Genomic DNA, 15,936 nt, shown 5'->3' with positions numbered 1-15,936 from the left:
CAAGAATACATGCATCAAAAAACCTAACTGATTTCTTCTTTCTGTCATTAGCTCTACTTTATCATGGCGTTTCTTCTCCTTGATCATATCTTCACATAGTATTTGAACTTGCAATGGATAAATCTTAATTTTTTTTTTTTTTTTTTGAGACGGAGTCTCGCTCTGTCGCCCAGGCTGGAGTGCAGTGGCGGGATCTCCGCTCACTGCAAGCTCCGCCTCCCAGGTTCACGCCATTCTCCTGCCTCAGCCTCCCGAGTAGCTGGGACTACAGGCGCCCGCCACCACGCCTGGCTCATTTTTTGTATTTTTAGTAAAGGCCGGGTTTCACCATGTTAGCCAGGATGGTCTCGATCTCCTGACCTCGTGATCCGCCCGCCTTGGCCTCCCAAAGTGCTGGGATTAGAGGCGTGAGCCACCGCACCTGGCCAAGTCTTAAACTTTTTTGAGAAAATATTTACACCTTAATTTAGTGTCATTTTATATCTTGGTCCTTTTCAAGACATAGCTTTTACTCCATACTGAATTTTGTATGTCTCTAGCAGTAGAAACCTGCAAATACACAGACCATATTAAACAATTCCTCTTATTAATATTATTAATGTTAAGTTGACTTCTATTATTATTTTATCTTTCACTCTCTCGATGTGAGTACTTTGGTCTTATTATAGGTCAGGATTTTTTTAACTGGAATCCTCAGACCCCCAAAGGGCCAAGGATTGAATTTAGCAGGTCCATGAACTTGAATTTGAAAAAAAAAGTTTTCATATTCACTAACATCTAACTGAAATTTAGCAGTTTCTTCCTTTATAAATGTAGGCAGCAAACCACAGTAGTGTTAGCAATATCTATGACTTTATCACCAATGAAATCCACAGTTATTTTCATATCATTTTACAGTTGTTATAGATATTTTAAAATATCATTACATTCATCACTACTTTAAAATTATAGAGCTACGACTAGCTCTTGGTATTTAATATATTAATAAAGGCTTGTATATTATATTCTAAACAACAACCACCACGGCAAGTTCCTATGACTACAGAGCCAACCATGGAAGCAGAGCATCCCCACCCAGTGAGATGCTGATGCCCGTTGATAGGGGACTCAGTGGCCAAGGGGTACCCCATCGACCTCTTTCCAAGCCTCCAAATAACAAACATCTAAGTAAAAGCAATGAGTAGCTTCCAGACACTTCCCCGCCTGCCCCTCTCCAGCTTTTCCAATCAGATCACCACCTCTAAACCTGACCAGGAAGTTCTGGAAGCTGCCTCTACAAGACATGCATGGCGCGCTTATCAGACCCAGTCACCATACTGGAGATGCGGGCTTCATGGAGATTTTTCTTTCCTCCATCACTAATCATAACCTACTCTCGGGATTATGCCTTATGAAAGCTAGGGGGCAGCAAACTCAATGGCAAAGTGAAAAAGACTGCCTGCTGCAGAGGCACCTGGGCAGCCTTGTGAGCTGAGCTTGCTGCAGGCTTCGCTGCTTCTTCCAGGACCCTCAATCAGGTGGCGGTGCCTCGCAGTCTGATGCCGCATGGTGATTCCATTATTTACCTGCTTACAGATTCAGGAAGGAAATCAATGCCAGCTCCTTCAGGATAATTTTTCCAAAAACCTAAAACACATTTCAATGACTACATTTTGGGAGGTGTTATTCAACATACATGTTTTTCTTTGAGATAGTGAAGAAGCTCTCTTTTTTTTTTAATCCATTGTCTCTCAAAAGTATGGTTACTTGCTCTTATAATCTTGTTTTCTACATTTATTTTATGGGTTTACCATCTCTCTCTATCCACTACCCAGCCCCCAGTCTCTGCTAGAATATACAGTTCATCAGACAACTATCCCCAGTGGCTCCCAGGAACTGCCACGTAGAAGGAGCTCAGAGGCCAGGCATGGTGGCTTACGCCTGTAATCCCAGTACTTTGGGAAGCTGAGAAGAGTGAATCACTTGAGCTCAGGAGTTGAGACTAGCCTAGGCAATATGGCAAAACTCCATCTATACAAAAAATGCAAAAATTAGCATGGTGGTGCCTGCCTATAGTCCCAGCTATTCAGGAGGCTGAGGTGGGAGGATCACTTAAGCCCGGGGGTCAAGGCTGCAGTGAGCTGTGATGGTGCCACTGCACTCCAGCCTGAGTGACACAATGAGACCCTGTCTCAAAACAAAACAAAAAGGAGCTCAGAAAATATTTGTGGAGTGAATGCACTGTTGAGTGAATGCATGAATAGTTTGAAAACTATACAGCAATCCTGCTCCATTTCATGTTAGCATTGCTCTCGTTCCTATGCAGATGGAATTTTTGAAAAGCACATGACCTTCTTCCTAATGCCATGCAACGCAAACTTCTCAGAAAAGGGCCTCTATGAAGAGCCCTTCTCATGGCTTTTTAGTCATTCCATCATCTCTGAGAGCAACAGTAAACGTATCCAGGGAGTTAGCCTCTGTGACTTTTAGGCTCCAAAGTACTTCATGTGGGTCTGCCAAAACCCTTGAAACTTCATGTTGTTACAGATGACTGCAAACACAACACCAATTTTTCTAACTTGAAATGATGTTATAAGTGAATTCCCAGCTTGCTGAACCATCATAGTCACCAATCCAGGTTTCCAGAGTCAGTTTTCACATCAGAGTTACCTCACTTAGGAATTCTACTTTAGATTAAAAAAAAATTTCCAAATGTCCCTGAATTGAAAACTCAGCTGAAATGTTCTAATAAGGCCACCCTGTAACCCTTGATGTCTCAACATACCTGCAGGGCAGCTAGCAGGATGCCACAAGCGATGGAAACACTGATCTCATTGTAGTAGTGGACTTTTTTCTTGCCATTTGCGGCGAAACCATGTACTTGTTTGAAAATGAGAATCAAAATAGGGGCAGTATCCAAGTACTCTTTAATCCAGTTGGTTCTGTGAAGAGAAAAGAGATTCAGGATAATATTTGCCCATATTTTTTGTTCTCTTTTACTACCTTAGCTTCTTTATGATAAAAATAAAAACATATTTACTCATCTTTTATATTTAAATTGAAAAGCTGCAGAATTTTTGTTTTTGTCTCATTCCACTTTTTCTGACCAGGATCATTCAATTTCATAAACATGTCTTAATAAGTGCCTAGTATGGCAAGACATATGAAATGCTGAAAGATACAAGGGCAGGTCCTATTACCCAGCATGCACTGGGTCAAAATTCAGCAAGGGAGAAGGCAAGGATGGCAGTGAGGTTTAGCCAAAATCACAGGTGGGCAGATGGCAATGCTGTTCACCCAGTTATAGAAAAAAGGAAGGGAACTTCTGTGGGAGAGGGAGATCATTCATGTAAGGTGTAAATGCAGAACTGAATTTTTGTTTTCCAGCTCAGAATATCTTTCTTGATTTCATTACCCTGGCCCACACATTTTGGCAGAAGTTTTATTCTAGCACAGATAGTCAAAGGACAGAGAGTCATATAATCCCATATATTGGGATTTTACCTTAGGATATCTTATATCATTCATTAGCAAGAGACAATCACCATTCATTTCATTTCTAGCTTGGTTATGCTTCCTCATTCCAAAGCACACGAAACTCACTTGTGTATTTCTCCATGGCTCCTCTTACGCTATGAATATCTGTATGTTACACTTTCAAAGCTACTTAACCATACTTCAACCAGCTTAGTCACATTTGACCATTATCATTTCTTTTCTCCCTATAAAGAGGGAAAATGGTAACGCTTTAGAAGATCTGCACTGGAGCTGGGCTGTCTTGGCCACTGGGCAAGCTACTTGGCCTCCCCTGGAGCTGTTACCTCCTCTATAAAATGTACTCTTGTGTACCCACCCCCTGTGGTTATTGCAAGGGTGAAAATAGTTAAAATACATAAAGTGGCTTAAAGCCAAGCATCAGAATTTCAAATCATGGAAATATCAACACAGAGGAGCCACTTGTAATCCACTTTCCTGACTCACTGGATGAACCAACACTCTCCATTCCCTCCACAGAGCACGCGGACTGTGCTTCGGCGCCCGGAGCAGACCCCGAGGGCTGCATTTGTTGAGGGACCACAGAGAAACTACTTACACTGAATTCCCCTCCACTTCTTTCCTGGAGTTGAGGAAGCCAAAAAGTTACTAAGGCCTCACAGATAACTACACTTGTGTTAAACTTGTCCTAAAACTAAAACCTGCTTAGTAAAATCATTTGGAAGACCTGATCACTTTAGCAAAATGTAATTTGCTTCATGCAAGATCTTGAGAAGAATTTTACCATTTTATGTTCCAGACGAGTGAAAAGTGAAGTAATTCCTCAATTATTTACTAAGCAAATAATTGAGTCAGAGCCTATTTACCAAACGCTCACATGGCAATACAGGAGTGAGCCCGGACTTAACTTCCGTAATTCCTCCAAGAGGCAGAATAGAATCAAGCTTTTTCACGCTTACAACAAAGCCAGGACATGGTGGTGGTGGTGATTTTATTTTAAGAGGCCAAGGCAAACATCCCCAGTTCCACCACTGTTTGTACCTCAGTTTCTTGAGGTCTGTGACCCAGCGATGTCCCATCCTTTTCATGTAGTTGATCTCCTCTTCCTCCTCAATGATCTTTCGAATCTTGTGCTTCACGTCTGGGTCCTTCACAACCACGAAGGTCCAGGGCTCTGTGTGAGCCCCACTCGGGGCTGTTCCTGTCACCCATTCCATTAAAATCAGAAATTAAAACTGCAGGAAAGTGTGAGACTGCTAATTAAGGAGAGGCTCATCCCTGTAGTCCAAGCACTTTGGGAGGCTGGAGCTGGAGGATCAAACAAAATTTTGCAGATTTTTTTTTTTTTAACTAGCAGGGTGTGCTGGTGTGTGCCTATAGTCCCAGCTGCTTGGGAGGTAGAGGTGGGAGGATTGCTTGAGCTCGGGAGGCAGTGAGCCATGATTGCACCACTGCATTCTAGCCTGGCAACAGAGTGACATCCTGTCTCTTAAAAAAACTTTTTTTTTTTTAAGGATAAACGTAGTAATTCATACTTGGCCAGGGGCAGTGGCCTATGCCTGTAATCCCAGCACTTTGGGAGGCCGAGGTGGGTGGATCACCTGAGGTCAGGAGTTCAAAACCAGCCTGGCCAACATGGTGAAACCCTGTCTCTACTAAAAATAGAAAAATTACCCGGGTGTGGTGGTGGGCGCCTGTAATCCCAGCTACTTGGGAGGCTGAGACAGGAGAATCGTTTGAACCCTGGAGGCAGAGATTGCAGTGAGCTAAGATGGTGCCACTGCACTCCAGCCCGGGTGACGAGAATGAAACTCTGTCTCAAAAAAATAAAAACAAAAATAATTCATACTTGCTCAAAATGAAGTTAGATAATCTGGAAAACAAATGCCTGGCAGTGAACCCTGTCATGCTGCTGCCAAGTTTGTTTTGTTCAGCGTCAGGCCAACTGATCAATGATCAAGCTCTGTAGTTCCAGGGTTGTGGGAACTCACCTCTGCTTCTCTAATTACATGGAAGAAAATGTCCCCAAGTAACTGCACCATGCCTACTAAGGAAAGAAACTCAGGGGAAATTTTGACAGCCAGAATTCTCCAGACTGTCATTTGTTTTAGTAATCTTGAAAAAGAATAAAGTTGTGAAGGTTATTGAAGGAGGCAAAATGTACATGGTAAGATGGTTTTAAAAACACTCTTCAAAAGGCAACTTAGCTATACAGTGTTTGGTCCCTGTATCAAAGCTATGAGTGTGGCACTGTGAGGTTTGTCCTTGGGGACACACAACAGTTGGGGAATTCTTTTTTTTTTTTTTTTTTTGATGGCGTCTCACTCTGTCACCAGGCTGGAGTGCAGTGTCACAATCTCAGCTCAGTGCAACTTCCACCTCCCGGGTTCAAGCGATTCTCCTGCCTCAGCCTCCCGAGTAGCTGGGACTACAGGCACCTGCCACCACATCCAGCTAATTTTTCTACACTTAGTAGAGACGGGGTTTCACCATTTTAGCCAGGATGGTTTCAATCTCTTGACCTCGTGATCTGCTCGCCTCGGCCTCCCAAAGTGCTGGGATTACAGGTGTGAACCACCACGCTGGGCCCAGTTGGAGAACTCTTAGACATGGGTACTCAATACGCACGGCCATGTGTCATTCTACTCCCGGGGGGACTTCGGGAACTCTCAGTCCACACCTTGATCAGTTCCAGTGTCCCAGGGCAAAGCTTCGCAGTGCATCATCTTTGTCCAAGGAGCCTCAATTCCTGTGGGATTCTGGTGAGAGTAGGGGCCAGCTTCTGATCTGGGTGTCGTCCCTCAACCCTAGAGATGGCCCACTGTTCCCAAGGGGAGACCACAGTGACTCATGGGTGGGATATTTCAGAAGAAACTGTTCCTTCCTTCCCATTGGATAGTTTAATGGAATAAGCAGCACCTATGGAGGGAGGAAGGGCTGCAGACTCTTGGTGGGGTTCTTGCTTGCCACACACCACTCCCAACACTAGAAGTCACAGCTGGCTTGGGAAATGCAAGTCAAAGGCTAAACATGAGGCCCAAATTTCTGCACAGAGTGATTCCAGTTAACTTTGTACCCATTTTATTTGTTTACTAAATATTTGTATCTCTAAACATAAGAAATAAATTTTTCCCTAATGTTTTTAGTTGTGTCAAATTTACCTTAACAGCATATGTGTACGTATACATATACAAATACAGATACAGATAAAGGCTAAATTTAGTAACTGCTGTTAGTTAGGCTAAGGACTCAACAATCTAATGTATTTGTATTTCTAACTGAAGTAAAGTATTTTATTCTTGCTTCCTTTCACATTGGACAATAGATTAATAACGGGCATGTGATAATTTTTGCAAATAAACTTAAATATGGTTTATGTAAGAATAAGACTCCAATCACAGGAGATTCTCAAGTAGGGAGCTTTCTCTTATTTCTCCTCCCCATTTTCTGTAGCTCTGATTTTTTTTCCTCAGTGGAAATATTAATTTACATTAAAAATGGGTTTTTTCTTGCTTTGTTTTACTGTGCAAATTTACATAAGTAAACTTTGCTAGTTAATGAGAATACTGTACTACAGCATCATGGTGTGTAATATAAGAAATTTGCTTCCAAAAAAAACAAATATAACTGTGAGTATGCGAGTGTGTGTATGTCTGGTGTGTTTTAAGGAGAGGGAAAGAAAGAAGGTGTATCTCCTCCAATATATTAATATAATGATGTGATCAGAAATCTTGGTTTTTAATTAAAAGATCATGAACTGAATAATTTCAGAAGTTTTGAACTATTGTCACATCTTCTTCCAAGAAGCTTGTAATAGTCAAAATGTGGAAAGTAGAAGTCATTGTGTTTCTGGCACTCACTCAGCATTTGGGTAAGACTTTATAGATAAACATATCACTCTAGGCTTTATTCGCTATGTTTAAACTTTGACATTTTTCCATTGTTGGAGTCACACCAGTAAGGTGACTAACATTTCCAAAGACCCCATCTGCAATTACAAACCTGCCGTTCTGATGACATTATCAATGACTTCCATTGGGACTTGCTCATTACTTATGAACCTGACTGACCGTCTCTTATTGAGAAGTTCATAAAATTCCTGAGACCTCTTAACCATTTCCTTCTCAGGATAGTGGTTATGAGAGAAGGGGATGTGTTCAACATTTTCTTCTGATTCTTGCCATTCATCAGCATCTGCAAATAAGAATAAGAAAGGTAACAAACTAAATGATCCCTTGGTCATAAGGTGACCGCTGGGGAGAAGAAGATAAAGTGCTTAAATGTGTAAGGTTATGAACTCAAAAAAATACTATAAAATGAAAAAAGAATAGATTTACAGAATCCTTACCACTGATCTTGACTATCCTTAAAACTCCAGCTGGGTGCAATGGCTCACATGTGTATTCCCAGCTGCTCTGGAGACAGAGGTGAGAGGATCGCTTGAGCCCAGGAGTTCAAGGCTGCAGTGAGCTATCATCACACCACTGCACTCTAGCCTGGGCAATGGAGACAGACCCAGTCTCTTTTTAAAAAAAGGAAGAAAAGTCCGGGCGTGGTGGCTTACGCCTATAATCCCAGCATTTTGGGAGGCCAAGGCAGGCGGATCACTTGAGGTTGGGAGTTCGAGACCAGCCTGGTCAACATGGTGAAACCCCGTCTTTACTAAAAATACAAAAATTAGCCAGGTGTTGTGGTGCACACCTGTAATCCCAACTACTTGGGAGGCTGAGGCATGAGAATCGCTTGAACCTGGGAGGCAGAAGTTGCAGTGAGCCGAGATTGCACCACTGCACTCCAGCCTGGGTGACAGAGTGAGACTCCATCAAAAAAAAAAAAAAAAGAGAAAGGAAGGAAGGAAAGAAGAAAGAAAGAAAGAAAGAAAGAAAGAAAGAAAGAAAGAAAGAAAGAAAGAAAGCAAAAACTCCAGACTATAAATCTAGAAAAAGAAAAATTTTACCAAAAAAAGATGAGGAATTCACATTTCTGTTAATGATGGACTAGGTTATTTGAAACAATCTCCTGTCAGTTGAAAACCACTCAGATCTCTAAATAAAGTATTTTTCAAAGTCTTTTTTAAAATCGTTGAGCCTACAACATAGCAAGAAATTTGCAGGCCAAAGTGAAGAGAAAATATGAACTCACACAGGTAGATAAGTGCAGAAGGTACATTTTTTTCTCTACTGTATTTGCCAATCCCTACACATTTGAATTCCATTTTTATATCTTCAGGGATTAAGGGTGACAGATATCAAAGCCCAGGCCCACACAGAATGTGAAGTCTAATAAGCTAGGACCCCAAAACTACATCCTTAGGGGAAGTGTCAATCATAAGTAAATTATTCCTCAACGGTTTATATCAGTTTGATGAGTCTTGCCTCAAACTTGAACTTGGAATAAACTTGTCCTGCCTGAAAGTACCCCAGTTGTCTAGCAGAAGAAAATGCCAATATACAAATAATTTTAAGTACAATCATCAGCAACCCATCAAATGCAATCAGGCACATAAAGAAGAAAACATATTGGACAAGAAACAGCAGAATCAATTTTAAAAAAATAAAGTCAGATGCCCAAAGACTCCAAATACTGGAATTATCAGACCCAGAAGATAAAACAACTATGATTACTGTATTTAGAGAAAAAAGACAAGCTTATATAAATCTGTAGGGTACAGGAAAGAATAAAAGGAAAAAAATTAAAAAGAAGAAAAAATAAAAACAACAGCAAAAATAAAGAATAAAAGCTAATATAAACAATCTGAAAAAATAGAGAACTTCTGGAATTGAAAAATAATAGAATTAAGAACTTAAAAGGATGGTTGACTAGCAGGTTACACTAGCTACAGAAAAATTAATGAACTGGGAGGTAAGTCAGAAGAAAACACTTAGAATTGGGCAAGGAGAGACAAAAAGATAGAAAATATAGAGGAAAGGGCAAGAAAAAATAGAGCAGAGTGAAGAGTGAGAATGTCTAATATACATTTGATCATTTGATTCAAAGAGTATATGGTGGAGGCAATATTTGAAAAGATAGCATCTGAGATTTTTGCAGAACTCATGAAAAATACCAGATCTACAGATTCAAGAGGGCTGGTAAATTCTTTTTTTTTTTTTTTTTTTACAAGAACTTTTTTCTTTCTCTTCTTTTAAAATTAGAAATGGGGTCTTGCTATGTTGCCCAGGCTGGACTCAAACTCCTGGCCTCAAGGGATCCTCCAGCTTCAGCCTCCTGAGTAGCTGGGAGTACAGGTGTGCACCATTGCACCTGACTATTTTTAATGACATTAAACACAGCTGCTACAAGGGGAAAAATGTGATTATAAAGAAGGTGCCAAACTTCAGGTTCATAATTGATCCTGACAACAATAAAAGTAAATCAGGGGCTGCGTTAGTTGCAAAACTACAAGTTATTTCAGGCTTCTTGCCTACAGGTAAGCTACGTAAATGGCACTTTTTTACTCTGAGGCCTAGTAAACTCAAAGAGTTATTTTTAAAAACTATAGTTTTTACAATAAAATATAAAAATATTGAAAGCAACTAGAGAAAAAGTTTACCTCGGGAAGAACACAGAAATAACTGAATTTTTAACCATGGCAAGAATAGTTGCATTGAATAGAAATGAACTAAATGTTCCCGATAAAGGCCAATGATTATTTTAAGTCCAAGTATGTTGTTTATAAGGGATACACCTAAAACATAAGCATATAGAAAGGTTGAAAGTCATACCATGCATCACATAACTATACTAGTTGAAAAAAAATTAAGGCCAAAAGCATTATTGATAATAAAAAGGGTCAGTTTATAATAATACAATTTAATTTACTGGGAAAACATAATTTTAAATATGTATGCAATTACATTACATGACCTCAAGACAGACTTTTAAGAAGAAATGTAAAAATCCACAACACAGTGAAAGATCTTAATGCATCTCTTTCGGTAATGATAGAATAAGCAGAAGAAAAAAATCAGTAAGGATACAGAAGATTTTAACAAGGTAATTGACAAAGATAACCAAATAGGCTTACATAGGACACTGCACCAAACAACTACAGAACACATTTTTTTTTAAGCAGACTTATTGGACCAGAAAATAACTCTCAACACATTTTAATGGCCCAATAGATAATGATCTCTGACTGTAATGCAATTAAACTAGTAACAAAAAGATAACTGAAAAAAACAAACAAAATACCTTAAAGAAAATTAGAAAATATTTCAAAATTAAAATATGAAATTATTACATATTGAAAAATCTATGCAATAACATTAACATATTATATTTAGAGGGAGATTCCAAGCCTTACACATACATACATTAGATAGGAACAAACTCTAAAAATTAATGAATTAAAAATCAATTTCAAGAAGTTAGAAAAAATACCCAAATAAAACCAAAGATAGTAGAAAAAGTAAATATTAAATATGACATATTAAGGAAAACAACAACAAACATGCAATAGGGAGAAACATCAAAACCAAAGCTAGTTCTCTGTAGAAACTGATTAAATTGGCAATCGTCTGTCAAGATTGATCAAGGAAAAGAGAAAGCACAAGTAACAAATATCAGGAATGAAAAAGGAGGCATCAGTACAGATGTTACTGTCATTCAACAAATAGTATGAGAATATTTATTATACCAATATATTAGAAAATTTATATAAAATAGACAAATTTCTTAAAAATATAACCTGCTAAAACTAACTTCAAAATAGAAAAACTGAAAAGTCTGCTGACTATTAAATAAGCTGAATTAGTAAGCAAAGATTTTCCTAAAAGAGAAAGCAACTCTAGGTCCAGATACAATAGAAAAAGAGTAAACACCCTCCAACTCATTTTATGGAATGACCACAACCTTGATACCAAACATAAGTAGGGCATTAAGAGAACAAAAAACTACAGGCTCAACTTCCTCACAAACATGGTACAAAAATCCTAAATAAAATATTAATAACAGAATTCAGCAATTTATAAAAAAAAATACATCTTGGCCAAGTTAGAATTATCCCAGGAATATGAGGTTAATTTAACATTAGAAAAACAATCTTTTTTTTTTTATCACATTAAAAAGCTGAAGAACGTAAACCACAAAAATCATTACAATGCAGAAAAGGTGTTTAGTAAAACTTGACATTTATCTCTTAGTAAATTTGGAGAAAGGAACTTTCTTAATCTGATAGTCTAACTATGGGGGGAAAAACCCCACCACATCCAGCTATGGTAATGATGTATCTTTGAAACCCTTCCATCAGTGATTGAGAACAAATAGGATGTTCTCACCACAATTCTAAATATGAAAGATTAATTTTTAAAGCTTTTAGAAGAGAATATAAGAGAATGTCTTCACGACCTTGGAGTGGAGAAGGATTTCTTAAATAAGACACAAAAAGATTAAACATGAGAAAAGAACTGTTACATTTAATTACATAAAATTTCTCATTATGTCTGCCTGCTTCTGCCACTTCTTCTGTTTTCCCCATTACCCTCCTGTTCAGAAAGTTCTGCAAGCTCATTATCAGTAGTTGAAGATCTTAGAGAAGATGAAGATGCAACAGAAGGGTCAATCACTGGAGCTAAAAATGCCAAAACTGAGGAGAAAGAAAATGAGCCCACAGATATGGCAGAAGATAAGAAGGATGATGTGTCTAGTGCACTAAAAGCTTCACCAAGGGCACACCCAGTTATGTTATTTTAGAAGAAGATTTTCCAATAAATAACTTTGTGAAGTTCAAGATAGTCTCTACAAACAAGAGTTCTGAAGACTGTATTGTCAAATTCCCAGATACTACATTCCAATATTCTCAAAATTGTTCGTTATATATCCAAAATTTCACAGCTTTTCTGAATACTGTTTCTTCATTTCACTTAAGCTCATGAAAAGACATACTTCTGAACTACAAAGATTTCAACAGAAAAAAATTCTAAGATGCTGTCTTCAAACAGTTAAAATTATTGAGGGGAAAATGTTTGGATGGCAAAAATATAATAATAATAATAGATATTCCTTGCTTGTCTTAGGCTGGTCTTGGGCTTCCAGTTGTTGCTGAGTTTTATCAATTCCTAGAACTTAGGAGGCAAAATATACCAAAATGAGGCCAGTACAGAAAGTAAACCTCAGTATATCAAATCAGAATGAATTGTTATGTGTTGGAATTTTTTCAGTGAAATTTGAATCGCATAAAGAAAGCTTCACTGAGAAGGCTGCCCATGGAGTAAACACTGAAAATATTGTTGGGATCTAATGAGTAGATGGTTCTTTTACACAATAATTCAGTCTTTAACAAACCTGCCCTAATATTTTGCAGCCTGATGGGAATGGGTGTAGAGAAGCCATATCACACAGAAAGCAACTCCTACTTAGATAAGAACAGATCATCAGTCTGCTGTGATATTGCTGAAAATGCTCAGCACTCACTTTCCTAAAATAACAAATTTAAGATGTTTTAAACCATTAAAATGTATGTGTGTGCATGTGTTTGTGTCCTACCTGAATCATTATTGTACTACCTAAATTGTGTCTTTAGGAAACTGAATATAATGTTGTTATATATCTTCCTCATTGACAACCTCCCCAAAACCCAATTATATGTGCTTGATATGATGTGTATCCCATGCCTTGAGCTGTGTGATGGAAGAAAATAACTTGTTACTTTTTTCTTTTAGTAGATACAAATCCACTTCAAGGGTTTTTTTTGGGAGGAGGTTTTTTTTAAACATTAATTTTTTTTGTTTTTGTTTTTGTTTTTTTTTTTTTTTAGAGACTTGGTCTCATTATGTTGCATGGGCCTCAAACTCCTGGGCTCAAGCAATCCTCCCACCTCAGCCTCCCAAAGTGCTGGGATTACAGGCATGAGCCACTGCACCCGACCATAAATCCATTTTGATCTCATTGATTAGCTGATGCAGCTGTGGTTATAGTTGCTGCAATTTGTGGTTGTGGCATCTGTTAAAGGATTTTCACTTTTAGTAGTGGTTAATTAGAGAATTTTTATGAACGCCGCAAGCTAGAAAACCAAAACAACTGAAATCCTTTGTAAGATATATTTTAAAACATTTTCTTGTATGCATTGGAATGCTCATCTGTTATTGTAGGAAATGACGGTCAAAATCTAGCTGAAGGTTAGTACCACAGAGGTAGACCAGCATTCAAATGCCCAGAGTATTATGTATTTTCCAATTACCAAGAAACAGCTGTGAGGTTGATCTGAGATAAAGGATGATGACAAAAGCCAAAATCCCAGGTCTACCCATGGAGACTTGACAGCCCCCTACACTTTAAGCTGGGACCCTGAAGGTCTACAGTCTCATAGTAAGGGGGGATTTTAAATAAACCAGCCCTGATATGTGCTTGCAGCCTAAGATAATATCATCTGAGTGATCCAGGGAACCACAGGGTTTGACCTTAGGTTAAAGTCATCCCAGAGTATTAGTGTCACACCATGTAAGCACAAAAGTGCATTTTCCCTGGAAATAAGTACCAATATCCTAGACCTCACAAAGTTTTTATAAGTACTTTTCCAAAAGAATGACTAGCAAACAATGAAAAATAACAATGTATTTAGGAAAACACAAAGTTATGAATAAGAACCATTAAAAAACTATGGGCATCAGAAACAGACCAACAATGACTTATGATACTGGAGTTATCAGCCACAGATCATGAAACAACTATGCTTACTATGTCCAAAGAAATACAAGACACACGACTTTGGCAGAAAAAAGTGACAGCAAATTTGGAAAAAAGAACTAAAAAGATCCTCTAGAAACAAAAATGAAAACAAACTAAATTAAACATTCAATTAATAGGTTTAACATCAGTGTAGGCACAGCTAAAGAGGAAATGAATCAATAGGAAGATAGTTTCTTCTAACCTATCCAAAATGTAGCATGGAAAGAGAAAGACAGAAAACATAGGTGAGAATGTAAAAGACATCAGAGGATACAGTGAGAAGGTCTAACCATTTAATTGGAGTCCTGAAAGGAGAAGAGAGAGAGGAAATGGGCCAGAGGCAATATCTGAAAAGGCAATGGCTGAAATTTTTCCAAAATTGTTGAAAAATACCAATCCGAGATTTTAAAACTCAGTATTGTCTAGTAAAATTGGATAGAGGTATACCCTACATGTCTCTACTTAGGTTCTCCAAGAAGCTGACTCAGAGACTGAGTCGTGTGTGGAATGTTTATAGGAAGTAGCTTTGGGATCAAAACCTATGGAAGGGAGAGGAAAGAAACAAGATTGGGCAGAAGAAGCCAAGCTGCAATGCAAGCTGAGAGACGGCCTCAACCACAGCAAGGGCTATTTTGAAACTAAAATTGTCCATCAGAGTTGTCTCAGATTAGGCCATAATGGCTGGACCTTTATACGACCACTGCAATCAGTCATTAGATGTGGGCCATCCTGGGAGGGGTGGGATCTCGGGAGAGATAGCTATCTACAGCAGAGGCCATTCCTGCAAGAGGCCGACAGTACTCGCAGCAATAGAGACAGCAAGCCCTTCCTCAAGGGGGGATCTGCGTGGTACATCATCAGGCCCTTCACACCATGACTCTGCAATTGCTTGCACACGCCAGAAAAATCCATGCACATATGTACAAGACTAGTATTAAAATGTTTACAGAAATAGTTGATAATAGTCCTAAACTAGAAATAGACCAAATGTTCATCAACAGTAGAATAAATTGTGATATAGTCATATAACAGAATACTATACAATAGTGAAAATGAATAAGCCTCAGTTACATGCCTAACCTGCTTTGCATTATATTTGACCCTTACAAATATAAAACAGCAAGTCAAAAGAATATAAACAGTATAATTTTAATGTTTAGGAATGTTTAGTTGTGTAAGAGTAATGCAACTAAGAAGAAAAGCAAAGAAATAATTTTCATAAAATTCAAAATAGAAGTTACTTCTGTTGGAAATAGAAGAGGTTGTGACTGGGGAAGGACATATGGGTGTTTATGAAATGTTGGATGTGTATATTTCTTAACCTAAGTGATAATTGTATAAGGTTTTGCTTAATACTTATTTGTTAAGCTGTTCATCTGTGTTTTATACACTTCTTCAGTGAGTGCATTTCACAATTAAGAGTTTTTTCAATGAGAAGAAGGCCATAGAGATTAATTACCAGAGGAATCAGGAATAAGTCAACTGTTCAGAACTTTTAAACAAAACTTCTAAAAAAGGAGAAAAGACACTTGACATTTTCTCAATGCAGTGAAAGTTCAGGTTCAGCAAAAGTAGGTAAAGTCTAGATACAGTGGAAACTTAGATCCTTAGAGATGAATTTCTTGCCATGTTACCATTTCTGTAAGTACAATAGCAAAACCAATATTTTTAAATTTCTGTTTCGTGTTTAAAATATCAATACTTTCAAGAAAGATTTGGAGTTTAATACAATGAGTAAGAACTTAAAAGTGTAAACAAAACTGGCCATAGGTACTTTTGCCTTTTGAGCAAAGTAGC

At 38.2% G+C, this 15,936-nt stretch overlaps 1 protein-coding gene and 1 pseudogene across 5 annotated transcripts in view; one reads left to right on the top strand and one right to left on the bottom strand.

Annotated features, from left to right (window-relative positions):
- IYD (iodotyrosine deiodinase) overlaps nt 1–15,936 on the bottom strand; it is a 36,958-nt gene that overhangs the window by 8,950 nt on the left and 12,072 nt on the right. The window contains exons 2-5 of one of the 5 annotated variants that reach the window (NR_134655.2): nt 7,477–7,668; nt 4,516–4,675; nt 2,765–2,921; nt 1,454–1,626 (exon numbers count right to left, since the gene is read on the bottom strand). Coding sequence is in view for 4 of the 5 variants with exons in the window: in NM_001164694.2 (NP_001158166.1) it covers nt 1,454–1,565; nt 2,765–2,921; nt 4,516–4,675; nt 7,477–7,668 (621 nt within the window). In the remaining variant the exon portion in view is untranslated. The remainder of the gene's footprint in view (nt 1–1,453; nt 1,627–2,764; nt 2,922–4,515; nt 4,676–7,476; nt 7,669–15,936) is intronic. The other 4 variants (NM_001164695.2, NM_001164694.2, NM_203395.3 and 1 more) reach the window with 4 other exon arrangements.
- SSR1P1 (signal sequence receptor subunit 1 pseudogene 1) lies at nt 11,920–12,686 on the top strand (annotated as a pseudogene).

The sequence above is a fragment of the Homo sapiens genome, chromosome 6 (assembly GCF_000001405.40).
Source record: "Homo sapiens chromosome 6, GRCh38.p14 Primary Assembly".
Lineage (NCBI taxonomy): Eukaryota > Metazoa > Chordata > Mammalia > Primates > Hominidae > Homo > Homo sapiens.
This window is presented reverse-complemented; position numbering and strand designations above follow the sequence as displayed.